Below are 16,833 nucleotides of genomic sequence, written 5' to 3' on the forward strand. Positions count from 1 at the left end.
TTAAATGAGTTTATCATTTCAGAGCCTCCAATGTAGTTATGTACATATAGAGTCACCATGAAAAAGAAATATAGTATGGATTGTTTCTCAAATTATTTAATCAGAGAACCAGAGGTGGCTGTATCACATATGTGAGGTCAGGCCATTAAAACCTACACACTTAACTTCGCAGTTCCTTGCTGCTTAAAGAATAAGAGCTCTAACTCCTTAGCATATGAGAATCTTCATAACTTGGCCATGCTAATCCCACCACTTCTCATATATCAGCTCCATTCTCATCATTCCAGCGTGTCAGTAACAAGTTTTACAAGTTGTTCCCTTTGGCTAAAAGACCTTTGTTCTCTTCTTCTAGTCCAAGTTTTACTGATCCCTCCAGACCTGGCTGATGGAACCAAGCCCTGAAGCCTTCTCTGAATATTCCCAATCAATTAGCTGTACCCTCCTCTGTGCTCTCATGGCACTTTGTTTATGTCGGAATTGCAGCATCTCAGTGGCTCTCAGTTAACCGTTGATTGATTTCCTTCTACACCTGGCTCCTGAAGGCCAAGGACTGTATCATTTACATCCCCAGTGAGAGGCATCCTGTAGGCACTCAATAAAAGCCTACAATTCCTTGGCCCCCCCTTCTGCTGGAGCAATATTCTTTTTTTTATTATTATTTTTTTTTTTTTGAGACAGAGTCTCGCTCTGTCGCCCAGGCTGGAGTGCAGTGGCGGGATCTCGGCTCACTGCAAGTGCTGGAGCAATATTCTAAAACAAAGCTTTCCTGGATTCTCAAAGACCTGAGGTATGCTTTTTTTCCTAGTGTAAATAACAATAGGGATACTTACACTTTAATGCCTAATAGACCCTCCAAGAACAGCAGTTAGGTAAGTCTCTGTGTATTGCATAGTACTGCACATAAAATTAAGTCACCACGCATGGAAAGCAATGCATTCCTTCCTTTTCAGTCAATTGTAATCATGAGACCTTTTAGACTTAGCCACAATAAATCCTATTTTTCTAAACGTTCAAAAGACTGTCAAATGTTGTTCCTCCAATTTTAATAAAGTCCCTGTAGATTTGAGAGCAGAAAACATTTATTTTATTTGTTACTAAAACAAGGAACTCGATTAGAAGTCAACAGTATGAGATGAAAACTAGAGATTATGAGCCATGATTCTTTTACTCATGATAGAGGTTCTGGCCTCTCAGATTCCCTAGACTAACGTTTCTCAGAAAACACATTTAGTCTATCCTTTGTCTGACTTTAGAAACAGTCTTCCAGCCGGGTGTGGTGGCTCACGCCTGTAATCCTGGCACTTTGGGAGGCCAAGGCAGGTGGATCACCTGAGGTCAGGAATTCAAGACGAGCCTGACCAACATGGCAAAACCTTGTCTCTACCAGTAACACAAAATTAGCTGGGCATGGTGGCACATGCCTGTAGTCCCAGCTACTTGGGAGGCTGAGGCAGAAGAATCGCTTGAACCTGGGAGGCAGAGGTTGCAGTGAGCTGAGACCATGCCATTGCACTCCAGACTGGGCAACAAGAGCAAAACTCCGTCTCAAAAAAGAAAAAACAGAAATGAAATAATCTTCCAGAAAAGGCTGCAAGTCATGACTGGCAAGTAGAGAATACTACCATTTCCATGAAAAGTAGGCATAAGATAAAAAATTCATTAATTCAAACACTGAAACACAAGGAATGGCATAGCTACGACAATGTCTTTTTCTTTTTTTTTAAGACGTGGGGTCTCAGCCGTGTGTGGTGGCTCACGTATGTAATCCTAATACTTTGGGAGGCGAGGTGGACAAAATCATTTGAGCCCAGGAGTTTGAGACCAGCCTGGGCAACATGGCAAAACCCTGTCTCTCCAAAAAAAAAAAAAAAAAAATACAAAAATTAGCCAGGTGTGGTGGTGTGCGCCTGTAATGCCAGCTACTCGAGAGGCTGAGGTGGGAGGATGGCTTCAGCCCAGGAGGCAGAGGTTGCAGTAAGCTGAGATCATGCCCCTGCACTCCAGTCTGGGCAACAGAGCCAGACCGTGTCTCAATTAATTAAATGAATGGCCACAGACCTCGTCCCAGGAGTAGTGAGTCAGGGTAAGGTCTCTGGGAGGTGGAGGGATTGAATGGGAGAAATGATCTTCCAAGGCCCTTTCCAAGGCTCCCAAAATCTTGGAACTTTACTCGCCAGGCATTGCGGGCTTTCGTGACATTGCTGGCTTTCCTGACATTGCTTTTCAGTGGTGCAGGAGCAGAGAGCTTCACTGCCCAGAGCAGCAGCGTGGCGACAGAGGCATAGTTGAGCAAAGAAAGAGGAAAGGGGCCTCCAGGGAAGCCAGAGCTGACTGAAGTGTTCTTGGGAAGATCTATTCATTGATTTTGTACCAAACCTGCACTCTCATTTTGTACCAAAATGTACCAAACCTGATGCACCTCAAAGGTGGCACCAGATGGGTGTGAATGTCACACACAGGAGTAAAACTCTTCCTAGAGCAAATGATAATGAGAGAGCTGAAGGCAGATGCATGCTTGAACTCTCATATGGGAGCTATGTGGGAGACCAACAGGTCTGTGAAAGAGAACTCCAGTCAGAGTAAGAAATACAGCACACAAATCGAGTGTCTCAGTCCTGGGAGTGCTTGCAGGCACTTCCGGAGCTTCCATTATCATGAAGCAACTGAACCGCTTGAGGCTATCAACCAACTTCAGAAATTGTGCCATCAGTGGCTGAGGCCAGAGATCCACTCAAAAAAGCACATTTTGGAAATGCTGGTACTAGAGCACTTCCTGACCATCCTGCCAAAGGGGACCCAGAACTGGGTGCAGAAGCATCATCCACAGCTTGCCAAACAGGCCCTGGTCCTGGTGGAACGCTTGCAGAGAGAACCTGGTGGAACAAAGAATGAGGTCACAGCCCATGAGCTGGGAGAGGAGGCAGTGCTCTTGAGAGGAACAACAGTGGCCCCAGGCTTCAAGTGGAAGCCAGCAGAGCTCGAACCAATGGGTCTGTTCTAGAAAGAATACTGGAACACATACAGGGTACTACAAGAACAGCTGGGCTGGAATACTCAGAAAGAAACCCAGCCTGTATATGAAAGAGCTGTGCATGTTCAACAGATTTTAGCCCTTTCTGAGCACAAAAGCACCAAAGACTGGAAGATGGCACCTAAGCTCATCTGGCCTGAGTCCCAGAGTTTATTGACATTTGAAGACATGGCTGTGTACTTCTCTGAGGAAGAATGGCAATTATTAGGTCCTCTTGAGAAGACTCTCTACAATGATGTAATGCAGGATATCTATGAGACTGCCATCTCTCTAGGGTTAAAGCTAAAAAATGACAATGGAAATGACTATCCTATAATATCGGTTTCTGCACCTGAAATACAAACAGCAGGATACAAAGTATCAAAAAAGACCAGAATGAAAATTGCCCAGAAAACAAAGGACAGGGAAAATCATGGTGATACACACAGGGTATAGAAATGGCATCAAGCTTTTCCAAGGAAGAAAAGAAACTTACAACTTGTAAACAAGAGCTTCCAAAACTTATGGATCTTCACGGGAAAGGCCACACAGGAGAGAAACCTTTTAAATGTCAGGACTGTGGGAAAATCTTCAGAGTTAGCTCAGATCTTATTAAGCACCAGAGAATTCACACTGAAGAGAAACTCTATAAATGTCAACAATGTGACAGGAGGTTTAGATGGAGTTCAGGTCTTAATAAGCACTTCATGACACATCAAGGAATAAACCCATATAGATGCTCATGGTATGGGAAAAGCATTAGTTATGACACAAATCTACAAACACACCAAAGAATTCACACAGGAGAGAAGCCCTTTAAATGTCATGAATGTGGGAAAATATTCATTCACAAATCCAACCTTATTAAATACCAGAGAACTCACACAGGTGAGCAGCCTTATACTTGTAGCATATGCAGGAGAAACTTTAGTAGGCAGTTGAGCCTTCTTAGACACCAGAAACTCCACAGAAGATGGGAAGCATGTCCAATGTCTCCAAACTGAGGAAAGTTACCATGTAGAGATTGATTTTAGATGTGATGAAAGAATACAAAATTATGAGGCACCCAATGATAGGAATCTGTCATCAACAGAACATTTGGGAGGGGTACATATTATGCTTCACAAAAGTTATCTAACCTGTCTTATTCAGCATTGCATCTTTCATGCCTAGCACAAGACTGATACATAATTAGTATTTTATTAATAAAAAAATGAAAGTGTAGCTATGAGATATCTTTACCTGTCTATCTATACGTATGTATCTGGTTATTCAAAGCTTCCCCATCCCCAGTCAGTGCCTGAGATATATGATGGTCAAGACTCTTAGACTCATTCTTTATTCTTTGTCAGGAGAGATGGAAGGTAAGAGTACCTGGGCCCTCTCAAGGGAGTTCAGAGAGAATTACTAAGTTAGGGACAGTTTCAATAGCTATCATTCTATCTATGTGAACAATCAAACCCAGGACTCAGGGAACTTTATAACAGAAAGAGGATTCAGTGTTTGCCCTGGGAGAAGTGCCCCATTCTAGTTGCTTCTTTCCTGAGTACCCACTACCACAATGTCTTCTGTCAAGGAATTACAAGTAGCAAGGGAAGGTCTGGCTACAAGGACAGACCTAGGGACCCTGCAAGCACTTGATATCTCTTCTCTTGCTGACTCTGTCAACACAGACAACACAAAATGGAATGATGAAGGAGGCAGTCTTGGCCCTCATCCAGGTATCTGTTTCTTTGTAGAAAGTACACATAAGTAATGAAGGTCTTTTTCTGACTTTCATTATGTGCACTGGATGGAGGCTTTCAAACTGGTGCTACACTGCTGCAGGGCCTAAAGGGAGGCCTGTCCTTATGGCTGATCAGCTACAACCCTATATGCCTGAATACTCTGCAAGAAGGCCTGGAGGTTTTCCAAAACTGATTTATTGAGAATGGCAAGGAGGGCCCTGTGACCTCTTAGCCTTGGTGCACAGCTAATACCAGGAGGGAACATCCTGAAGTGTCAGAGCAAAGTAAGGCATGTGGCTTAGAGTAATGACCGCAGTCAGGGCCAGGCAAGATGTAAATTGTTTACTCATGTTATTGGTTTTCCTGTCTTCCCTACTGGCCAAAGTGACTATCTCTTACGAAGAGACAATGTGATGTCAAGGAAGTTGGAAGGCACGGATTTACATCTGGTTTATAAATGTTGGCCAAGCCTTCTATATATTTATTATTTCATAAAATTGTACTTTTAAATCAAAATGACATGTTTTGTTAGATTTAGACATTAAACAAAACGTTGTTACCAAAATAATGAATGAATGAATCAATCAATCAATGAATGAGGTGGGGACTCACTTTGTCACCCAGGCTGGAGTACAGTGGCTAGGTCATAGCTCACTGTAGCCTAGAGCTGCTAGGCTGAAGCAGTCCTTCTACTTTAGATTCCGTGTGAGCCCCCCACAATGGAATATCTTCTTTTTCTTTTCTTTCTTTTTAAAACTCTTCTTTTCCTCACACTGTATGACCTCTGAGGCTCCAACTACTCCTTATCTGGCATGCTTCCCACATGATCCCTTGGGCTGTCATCTTCTCTAGATGTACTAGCATTGGTCAAGGTTTTCAGACACTTTCTGAAATACGCATTTCTAAAGTCTAGGGTACGATGTTCTTGCTCTTCACTGCTAACAAGCTAAACTGACCATCACGTTATCAAGTTCTCATCAAGTTTATATTACCAAAATCTCTACCAATGGGTCAGAATTAAGTCCACAGTAACAGTGGTCTCTCAGTGGGTTGAGAAACAAATTTGTTAACACGATAGAAAAGGATGTGTAGAACTGCTTAATCATTACATAACAAATAGTTGAAATCTGCCATCACTCACATATCCTGCTGTCAGACTGTACAGAGTTAGCAAGAAAAATCCACAAATAAATGACAGAAGGGAATCACAATGGACTAAGGAGCTTTACTCACAATCTGCCAACTACCTCATGTAGAAAGTGAGGCTCAAAGAGATTAGATGACTTATCCAAAGCTATATTCCTACTAAATAGTAGAGCCAGGATTCAAATTCAGTTTATTTTATATGGAGACACCAACCAGGCACTAGAGGAAGATTGCTTGGGGTCAAAATGTGGTTCTTTTATTTTCTAATGGAGACATCTTTTGCAATTTTCCTAAATACCCTGTCCTTTAGTTTCTTATCCACAAAATGGAGAAAATAAAAGTGAAGGTTAACTAATACATAAGAAATGCACAGGACAGTACTCTATATAGTAAGTGCTCAATATGTATATAATATGCATAATAAATTATGACTCCGTATTTTTTTTTTTTTTAGACAGAGTCCAGGCTGGAGTGCATGGCACGATCTTGGCCCACTGCAATCTGTTTCCTGGCTTCAAGCGATTCTTGTGCCTCAGCCTTCCAAGTAGCTGGGACTATAGGCATGCACCACCACACCCGCTAATTTTTCTATTTTTCAGTAGAGACGGGGTTTTTTTGCCTTGTTGGCCAGACTGGTCCTGAAGTCCAGACTTCAAGAGATCCAGCTGCCTCAGCCTCCCAACGTGCTAAGATCACAAACATGAGCCACTGTGCCTGGCCTCCACATTGTTTTTTTGCGACAGGGTCTCGCTCTGTTGTCTAGGGTGGAGTGCAGTGGCATGATCACACGTCACTGCAGCCTCAACTTCCTGGGCTTGGGCAATCCTCCTACCTCAGCCTCCTGAGTAGCTGGGACTACAGGGATGTGCCACCACATCCAGCTATTTTTAAGAATTTTTTGTAGAGACAGTGTCTTGCTATGTTGTCTAGGCTGATCTCGAACTCGTGGGCTCAAGTGATCCTCCTGCCTCAGCCTCCCAAAAAGCTGGGATTACAGGTGTGAGCCACTGTGCCTGGCATCATATTGTTTATAGATGGGGCTCACAATATAGTCCCAGAACATAATTTCTCTTGTCTTTATCCAAATGTTCTCTACCAACCTTTTGCCCTCAGAGCTATGGATATCCTTAGAGAACATAACTTCAAAATAAGCAAATGCAATGATTCTATTCCCACCATCAGTCCTGCTTATTTTTGTTTTGTTAAAAAGAGAGAGAAAGAGACTGAGAACTAGAGCGAGAAAGAAAGTTAACCCTTACCTTACTTTAAATCATACTTCTTTGGGTAGAAACAGAAGAATGAGAAACTCCACCCAACGGAGAAATGAACTAGGGATGTATTGGTCAGAAAAGATCTTTCTCCTAGAAATCTACCTGAAAAGTCTAAGGATGTCAATAGAATTCAAACTGATATTTAATGAGTACATATTAAGCATTTACTCAACAGGTGGTAAAATTAGCACAAGACCTAGTCTTTGCTCCCAGGGTCCTCCTAAGCTGGCAGAGGAGAGGTATTCATGCTCCTAGTTTCTTGGCAGAATGTATTAAGTGCCAAGATAGAGTCTCAATCAACATGTTCTGAGATCACAACAGGAAAAATGACATTTTACTTTGGGAGAAACATCTGAGATTGACATGAAGAACAACTCCATGTCCTTTTCTACCTTTTCTTTTAGAGAATGACAGAAAAGCATGTGGTTTTCCTTTTTTTTTTTTTTGAGACAGAGTTTTGCTCGTTGCCCAGGAAGGAGTGCAATGGCACAATCTCGGCTCACTGCAACCTCCGCCTCCCGGGTTGATGTGATTCTTTTGCCTCAGCCTCCCAAGTAGCTGGGATTACAGGCATGTGCCACCACACCCAGCTAATTTTTTGTATTTTTAATAGAGACAGGGTTTCTCCATGTTGGTCAGACTGGTCTCGAACTCCCAACCTCAGGTGATCCACCCACCTCGGCTTCCCAAAGTGCTGGATTACAGGCGTGAGCCACCGCGCCCGGCCGTGGTTTTCTTTTCAGGTAAGAATGTTCTGAAAATAGTGGTGATGGCTGTACAACTGCATAAATATACTGAAAACACTGAATATGTACACTTTTAAATGGTGACTTTTATGGTATGTGAATTACATCCCAACAAAGCTGTTATTTTCAAAACAGAATTGAGACACCATAAAGTTGAAGCCCCTTTTACCACCCCTGCCAGTCAAATCCCCACAAGTTACCAATATCATCAGTTTACTATCATTCTTTTGTTATACCTTTCTCTCTCGCAATGCCTAGCTGAAGTTCTTGCACACAGCAGGAATTTTAGGCATTTGTTGCATAATAATTTTGTACATGGATAAGATAATACTTTGTTCTTTTCAGCATAATATAGATCCTTTTGTATCTACCACCACATAAATTCAGTAGTTCAGGACCAGGCAGCTTTAGAGTACAGTTTATGTTAACACTACACACGCCACGTGCAGTAACAAAAGAAAATAGTACTCACTGGCTCAAAGCTCACCAATCACAAATTCAGTTAACAAAAAACCTTGATATGGAAGTTCATGAAAATAAGGAGATAATTTGCATCTGTTCCCTTGGTTTACAAAGGGTTTGAAATAAATGAAACCAGGCTTGGCGAGGCTATTGCTTTATAGCCCACACCAGCAAGCTATAAACAAAGGATTTCTCACTAGGTCAACCCAACTTATACAGAGGCCTTAAACAGTCTCATAAAAAGACTTGTTCCTTTGGGAAGCCAAGGCAGGAGGATCACTTGAGCCCAGGAGTTTGAGACCAGCCTGAGAAACATAGTGAGATCCCGTATCTACAAAAAAGAAAATAAAAATTAGCTGAGTATGGTGGCAGGTGCCTGTAATCCTAGCTACTCGGGAGGCTGATGCACAAGAATCACTTGAACCAGGGAGGCGGAGGTTGCAGCAAGTCAAGATGGTGCCATTGCACTCCAGCATATATAGATATATATAAAGAAATTGCTAAGAGACTGGTGGACCTATAGAGGCCTATGGTTGGGACAAGCAGTTCTCAGTGTATAGAGACTTTGAGACAGATGTCCAATACCGCGATCTCCTCCAATAATGGGTTCATGCACATCACTCCGAAAGACAGAATAAGTCTCAACAGGTGACTCAGGAATACATCAGAAATTAGACACTGAAGTAGAAAATTCCACAGATACCAATGTAGATATCCTCTTCTCTCTCACACAGATACATAGTAAGCATTACATAATCCGTGATATGTATTAAACATCAACGGTTTGCCAGACACTGTTCTAGATTGATGAGGATCTGGAGATCAATAACGCAGATGAAATCCCTGCCTTGACCAAGTAAGATTTCCAGCAGAAATAGGGAAGTGGGCGGTACTATGAAAGCGGAAGTATTTACTCAAAGAGCCCTGATTAGGAAGCTGACCTTTGAAAAGATTCAAAGGAGACTTTATCCTGAAAAATAAATGTTATTGTGGCAGTTTTAAAAAATGGCCAGCCTGGGCAAAATAGTGCAACACCATCTCTACAAAATACAGAAAAATTAGCTGGATGTGGTGCCATGCACCTGTGGTCCCAGCTGTCCAGGAGGCTGAGTTGGGAGAATCGCTTGAGCCCGGGAGGTTGAGGCTGCAATGAGACGAGATCATACCACTGCACAACAGCCTGGGTGACAGAGACCCTGTCTCTAAATTAAAAAATAAATAAATAAAATAAAAATTAAAATGACCACAAATTCTTTGATACTCCATCTACCAAGAGGTTGGAAGTCTATGTTCCCTTTCCATGAATCTGAGTGGACTTGTGACTCCTTCAATCAATGAAGTATGGCCAAAGTAACACTATGTGACTTCTAAGGCTAGGTCACTAAAAAAGGCCATGACATCTTCATCTTGGCCACTAAGACATTCACTCTTGGAGCCCTTAAGCACCATGTAAGCAGTCTGATTGCTTAGAGACTGCCATGAGAGGAAGCCTGGGCTCCATGTAAAGGCCACTGGTAGGTGCTCTCATCAACAACTGCAGCTGAGCAGAGCCTTTGAGTCATCCCAGCCCTGGTGACAGGTATGTAAGTGATGCTTTCGGAGGATTCCAGTTCCTAGCAGTCAAGTCACTCTGAGCCATTCAAGCCTTCCCAGTTGGGGCCCCAGATATTGGGGAGCAGAATCAAGTTCCTGCCATGCCCTCTCTGAATTCCTGACCCACACAATCTGTGAGTAAAATAAAATGGTTACCTTATGGCATTAACTTTTGGGCATGCTTTAATCATGACCAAAGATGTATCGTGAAGCCAAAGAAACTGGAACAAAGATGGAAACTGACAGAGAAGCAGACAGCTATAGAAAATATGAAAACTGCCTGGGTGCAGTAGCTCATGCCTGTAATTCCAGCACTTTAGGAGGCCGAGGTGGGCGGATCACGAAGTCAGGAGTGAGACCAGCCTGGCTAACATGGTGAAACCCTGTCTCTACTAAAAATACAAAAAATTAGCTGAGCGTGGTGGTGCGCACCTGTAATCCCAGCTACTCAGGAGGCTGAGGTAGGAGAATTGCTTGAACCCAGGAGGCAGAGGTTGCAGTGAGCTGAGATTCTGCCACTGCACCATAGCCTGGGTGACAGAGCAAGACTCCTTCTCGAACAAAAAAAAAAAAGAAGAAGAAGAAGAAAACTGTATTTTCTTTGCCTAAGCCTAGTTAGAAAGAAACCACTGTCCCATCACAAGGGACTAAATAAACTGTAACTCTTTTGATTGTTATCTATTTTATCTACAGATGCTACAATAGAAAACATTTCAGTTGTTAGGAACAATCAGTGCAGTCGAAAAGGAATATGGGTAAGGCACTACTCTGCTTGGCTTTTCAGGATGGGGCTAACATTCCTATGATGCCATTCCAAGTTGTCCATGAACCCATTTTTGCCTCTTTCTCTTGATGCAAGTACATAATAGGTATTCAGTAACTTTGTGGAATGATCGATAGAGTCTGAGGAGGCAGGGGAGAGAGAAGATACTCTGGACAGAGCAGAGACCACGGTGGGCAAAGGTAATGAAGATGGGGGTACTGGGGAGAACAGAGAGACTCACTTGAACCTTGTTCTTCATCCCTCTCCATCCACACACCTTACCTCGACATTCATGAGCTCACATCTTTAGGCCTTTAAACTGTTCTCATTATTTGAAATGTTACTTTTCCATCTGTAGATGAACTCCTGTTCACTCTTCACATCCCAGCTCAATTATAATTTTCTCTGCAGCCTCTGACACTGCCCCACTCCAAGTGGAGTTAATCACCCTATTCTACTTTCTTGCAACACTTTCCACCGTCTTATCTCTTGCTTCTGTACCTATGTGCCAAACACCAGGTTAGAAAAGAAAGATGACTATCCTTGAGAAGTCCCCATAATTAAGAGAAGAGACTAAAAACACAGTCACGCTGCAACATCATAGGAGCTGCAGAGAGGCAGGATGTTGAGGGAAGATAAATCTCCTTCAGGAGGATATCAGGAAGTATCACAAACCATGTGACATTTGAGGCAGGCCTTGAAACTGAGTAAAGATCAAAAGGCTGCCTGGGGGAAATCTATGGAATCACAACTGCAAAGGTCTCAAAAGGGAGCTGCTGAGTTAACAGGAACATCAGGTCAGGTCAATCTTTTCCCTCCCTACTGCTGGAGATTCCCCCGCTCTAGTTATTCCAAGTTCCCTTATTACAATGCCTGAAGTCACACAGTTTTCCCAATTACACGAATAAAGTGTATCAAAAAGCACCTTGCATTTGAACAAGTCATTTAAAATATGAGCCAATAATACATGAAAATATATTCAAACTCAGTAGCAATCAAAGAAATCCAAATCAAAACAACTATTTTTTCACCTATCAAATTATCAAGTATTAAAAAATTAAAATGTCTAATATCAAAGAAGAATCAGGGAAGCCAAAACTATCCTTTCTGAGAGCCAATTTGGTATGATGCATCAAAAAGCCTTACAAATAATTATACCCTTTGAATCAGACCCTCTTTTGCAGAAATTCATCCTAAGGATAAAAGTCTTTGCTCTAAAGATCATCACAGCATTATCTATTATAAAATAGCGGAAAATAGTTAAGGACTAAAATATCCAAGAACAGAAGAATCAAATAAATTTGGCACTGCAATAATTGTAACAGTTACCACTTATTTATAGAGTGTTTACAATGTGCCTGGCATTATCATATTTAATACCACAGAAATCCATAAGGTAGTTATGTAAGAGAATGTTGAATGTGACTTTTTCAGTTGCCCCACAATTGGTAAATAGAACTCACAACTAAAGACAGAGAGGAGGTGAGTTCCCCACAAGGTAAAGACAGCAGTCAATAACTGGTGCCAGGCTAATTAAAGAATTTATTAAGAAGCCATACTATGGGCCAGGCGTGGTGGCTCACGCCCGTAATCCCAGCACTTTGGGAGGCCGTGGCAGGCAGATCATGAGGTCAAGAGATCAAGACCATCTTGGCCAACATGGTGAAACCCCATGTCTACTAAAAATATAAAAAATTTGCTGGGCGTGGTGGCACGCATCTCTAGTCCCAGCTACTTGGGAGGCTGAGGCAGGAGAATGGCGTGAACCCAGGAGGCGGAGGTTGCAGTTAGCCGAGATCGTGCCACTGCATTCCAGCCTGGGTGACAGAGCAAGACTCCATCTCAAAAAAAACACCAAAAAACAAAAAAGAAGCTATACTATGAGATCTTCTACCCCAACCATGTGCTCCTGCACTGTCCCTCTCCCTCCACAGTCCACAAAAGAAGAGCAGAGATAAGAGGGGAAATCTTGGATTCCCTGACCTACTATAATGTGCTGTATTTTGGGGTGGTCCTCTCCCTACCCCACGGTGGGCTCCAAGATCATCAGTTACAGAGACTAGGGGTACCAAAAAAGAAAAAAGAAAAGAAAAGGTTTGGGGTAATAACTTTTAAAAAGTGTAATGTCTTGTGAATATCTGATCAGGCAGTCGACTTACAGATTTGGCCTGCACCAATCTGGACAGAGGAAGGAGAAACTGAGCAAGAAGGAGCAGCACTGCTGTTACCCCACTGTTTGGCACAGATATGTCTTCCCTGGGTCATACAGTCCATAGAAATTGCTGGTCTTAAGCCCTCTTGCCAGTTCCCCACCCAAAACGGCTGCCCAATAAGCAAGTGGACCAGGGCCAGGTGGTACCAGAGAAGAGTGAGGATGTCCTGAAAGAGACGAAAAGAACTAAATACCAGTTTCTTCTCCAGGTCTGGAGATCATGCGGTGAGGAAGCCCACCCTCCAAAGAACTCACAACAATGGGGAGTGGACCCACAGACAGTGCTAGACAGGCAACCTGTAAATGCCATCTAGGAGGACTCAAGAGCAGCCAGTGAAGAGACTCGTATCCTTGTCCCTCGCCCTCTTGCTCATTTTACACACTGGGCAACTGGGCACTGGAATGACTGGAGACCAGAAGGGCCAGGGAAGAAATATCAGAGAGAGACTGTATCTCCTCCCACCCCTACACTCTCCAAGGTGAAGAATGGGGAAGAGGAGTAAAAAAAATCAACCAGGCCAGGCGCGGCGGCTCACGCCTGTAATCCCAGCACTTTGGGAGGCCAAGGCAGGCGGATCACATCAGGTCAGAAGTTCGAGACCATCCTGGCCAACACGGTGAAACCGTGTCTCTACTAAAAGTACAAAAATTAGCTGTGTGTGGTGGCACATGCCTGTAATCACAGCTACAAAGAAGGCTGAGGCAGGGGAATCACTTGAACCCAGGGGGCAGAGGTTGCAGTGAGCTCAGATCATGCCACTGCATTCCAGCCCGGGCAACAGCAAGTCTCCATCTCAAAAACAAACCAACCAAGTCTACCTTTTCCCACTTCATATCCCAATAGCCACAAGCCTGGTTAGAGTAACAGGAGTAAGTAAACCTTTCAATTAGATATACTGAACTTTTCAAATGGTCAACTTTCAGTAACCCAGTGTGACCAGGAGGTTGTGAACTCTGCCTAAGGTATCATCTGTCCTTGAGAGGAGAAGGGAGATTTGGACAGAGCAGTTGGGAGTTCTGACTGGAGAAAAACACAATTGTTCATGTTTGCACCCCTCTAAGCGAAAACTATTCAATTAACAGGCTAAGGTTGCCATTATCTCTATTTTACAGACTAGGAGATTAAAGCTCAGAAAGATTAAGAAACTTGCCCACACCCACAAAGCATATGGGAGGTTTAGTTTGGATTCCAATCCAGGACTAACCTCAGAGCTCATGCTTTTTATGATTACATGAGGATTTTTCAAAATAGCATCCAACATATCCTTAGGGATCTGCAAAGCCAGTACACATTTCTTTTTTCAATCTTGAGTTTTCAACTCAAGCATTATCTTCTTAAAAAATATAAGCATAGTATCGACTACCTGAATCATCTTGCAGGTGAATGCTGATCCTTGATTGCCAGCATTTGCATTTAAAATCTTACAGATATCAAGTAGTAAGTTCCTTAATTTTCATATACTAATGACTAATCAGAAAGGACAGAGGTGACAGCTTATAAATAATGTGGTCATACCAATTAAAAGCCAATGCCTTGCTACACAAAGCAAAGTTTCACCGTAGTTCAAACAAAGAAATGTGGTAGGAAAAAAGTATGGGACACAGGACAGACAGGCATCAAAGAAGTGCTATATTCACATCTGAATCACCAATTTAGTTTCAGCAAAATATCTACTGTTGTTAACGTGAATTATATGGATTCTGAAGTTTTAAATTGAATTTGTAAATTTGTTTTCATATATAATTGTGGGAGAGCTATAAGAACATGTTTACACCTCACAGTTTTTGTTTATACAAATTTTGGTAAAGAAATAATTAAAATAATTTAATTCAACAGCAAGAACCAGTACAAATATATGTTTAAAGTGTCCTTATTACACATGCTTGAGAAACTCTGTGGCCATTAAAAACCTATGTTGTAGATGACTATTTTGTGATGCGGAAATATTTTTTCTTTTTTCTTTTTTTTGAGGCAGAGTTTCACTCTTGTTGTCCAGGCTGGAGTGCTCTCAGGTCACCGCAACCTCCGCCTCCCGGGTTCAAGCGATTCTCCTGCCTCAGCCACCCGAGCAGCTGAGATTACAGGCATGTGCCACTGTGCCCGACTAATCTTGTATTTTTAGTAGAGATGGGATTTCTCTGTGTTGGTCAGGCTGCTCTCCAACTCCTGACCTCAGGTGATCCACCCACCTCAGCCTCCCAAAGTGCTGAGATCACAGGCGTGAGCCACTGCACCCGGCCAGGGAAATATTTTCAATATATTAACTTAAAGCACACAAAGGGTGAAACAGCCTCACCTTCATTTTGTAAAATATACATAGCACATATAAATACAGGAAAAAGAGACTAGGAAATACTCTAAAATATTAATGTTTAGGCTTGACAGGAGTATTACAAGTGCTATTTATTAATATTATTTTTGTGATGTGTGTTTATAATTACTTTATTGTGAATAAAACAAGTATTAACAAAAAAATTCCATGTTTAATAGCGTATACTATGAAAGTTCCCAAAACCTGTTGCAAAACAAACAAACAAAAAAAACCCAAAACCAAATCACATTTTCAATTCAATTCCAGTTCAAACTCTTTTTTTCGCCAAGGCAATATAACCAATCCTGAGTAATATTTGTTCAAAACTTAAAAGCATATAAAGCACTAATGAACCAATAACTTACTGTGCTTTAGGTACCAAGGCTACAAGAACATGAACAAAGGGCATGGTGCATTGGAAAAGCTACCATTTTAGGGGAAGCACAGCGTAAACCAACAGTTACTGAGTGGTACTAAGGCCTGACGGTGACACAGGTGAACTAGAGGAAGGAGCTTCATAATTCATTCTGATGAGGTGGATGGTGCAGGAAAGACTGCCACAAGGTGGCAAGTGAAATTAGTCCTAAGAACATATGAGGAAATGAGGGCACAGAGGTGAAATGGCAGATTACCCACAAGTAAAATCTAAACATAGGTCTTATGACACTAACCTCACTGACCACACTAGACCAATCTCTTCCGGACTCCTATGGCACTGGTCTTTGTCATTTGTGTAGTATGTACTGCCTGGCAGTACATTCTACATTCAAGCTGCTTCCCCACCAAGACTATAAACTTTGAGGGGAATACTATGTACACTGTAGATACTTATGTACACTGTAGATACTTACTATCTGTTAATGACAGTATCTTCAAGTGGACCTCTAACAGGTTTTAGCCTCAATAAGTTATAGTCTCTGTTGGTATCCAAAAAAGTAAATCCAGGCACAGTGGTGCACCTATAGTCCCAGCTATTCAGGAGGCTAAGTGAGAGGAGCACTTGAGCTCAGGAGTTTGAGGCTGTAGTGTGCTATGGTCCTGCCTGTGAATAGCTACACACACACACACACACACATCCCTGGCCTATACTCAATGTTTTCCTCTAGGAAATTATATGAAAAGATCAACAAACTCATTTCAACAATCCTCATGATACTATACGTAAAACTTAGCACTTTCCCCTGCTCTTGCAAGTCAGCAGAACTCCAATTGGCATGTTCTTCCAATGCACACTAAGGAAAGACACGCTGTCTACCCGAGAAAATCTTCGCAGTGAACTGTGGTAATAGTTAATGACACCTAAATGTTATGGCTCATGAACATGGGTGAAACTCTCAGACATGCCACCTATATGACATGACAGGCCTGCACTGTATACAACAGTGAATAACTGGAAGTAACAAATGTTTAACTGGGGGAATGTGCACACAGGTGTGGTACATTCACTTACGTGATATTTATAAGACTTATGTACATGTCTAGTATTTGCTTTAAATATTCCAGCAAAGAAACAGAAAAACAGATAGATGAAATGTGATGAAATCTTGATAAGATTTGAAATTGTGTGCATCAGTATTCTTTACTTTTGTGT

At 42.1% G+C, this 16,833-nt stretch overlaps 1 protein-coding gene and 1 pseudogene across 1 annotated transcript in view; one reads left to right on the plus strand and one right to left on the minus strand.

Moving 5' to 3' along the window:
* Positions 1 to 16,833, minus strand: part of GAB2 (GRB2 associated binding protein 2) — a 202,528-nt gene that overhangs the window by 166,433 nt on the left and 19,262 nt on the right. The gene's annotated exons all lie outside the window — the stretch shown is intronic.
* Positions 2,308 to 5,301, plus strand: ZNF75CP (zinc finger protein 75C, pseudogene; annotated as a pseudogene).

Source organism: Homo sapiens, chromosome 11 (genome assembly GCF_000001405.40).
Source record: "Homo sapiens chromosome 11, GRCh38.p14 Primary Assembly".
In the NCBI taxonomy this organism is placed as follows: Eukaryota; Metazoa; Chordata; class Mammalia; order Primates; family Hominidae; genus Homo; species Homo sapiens.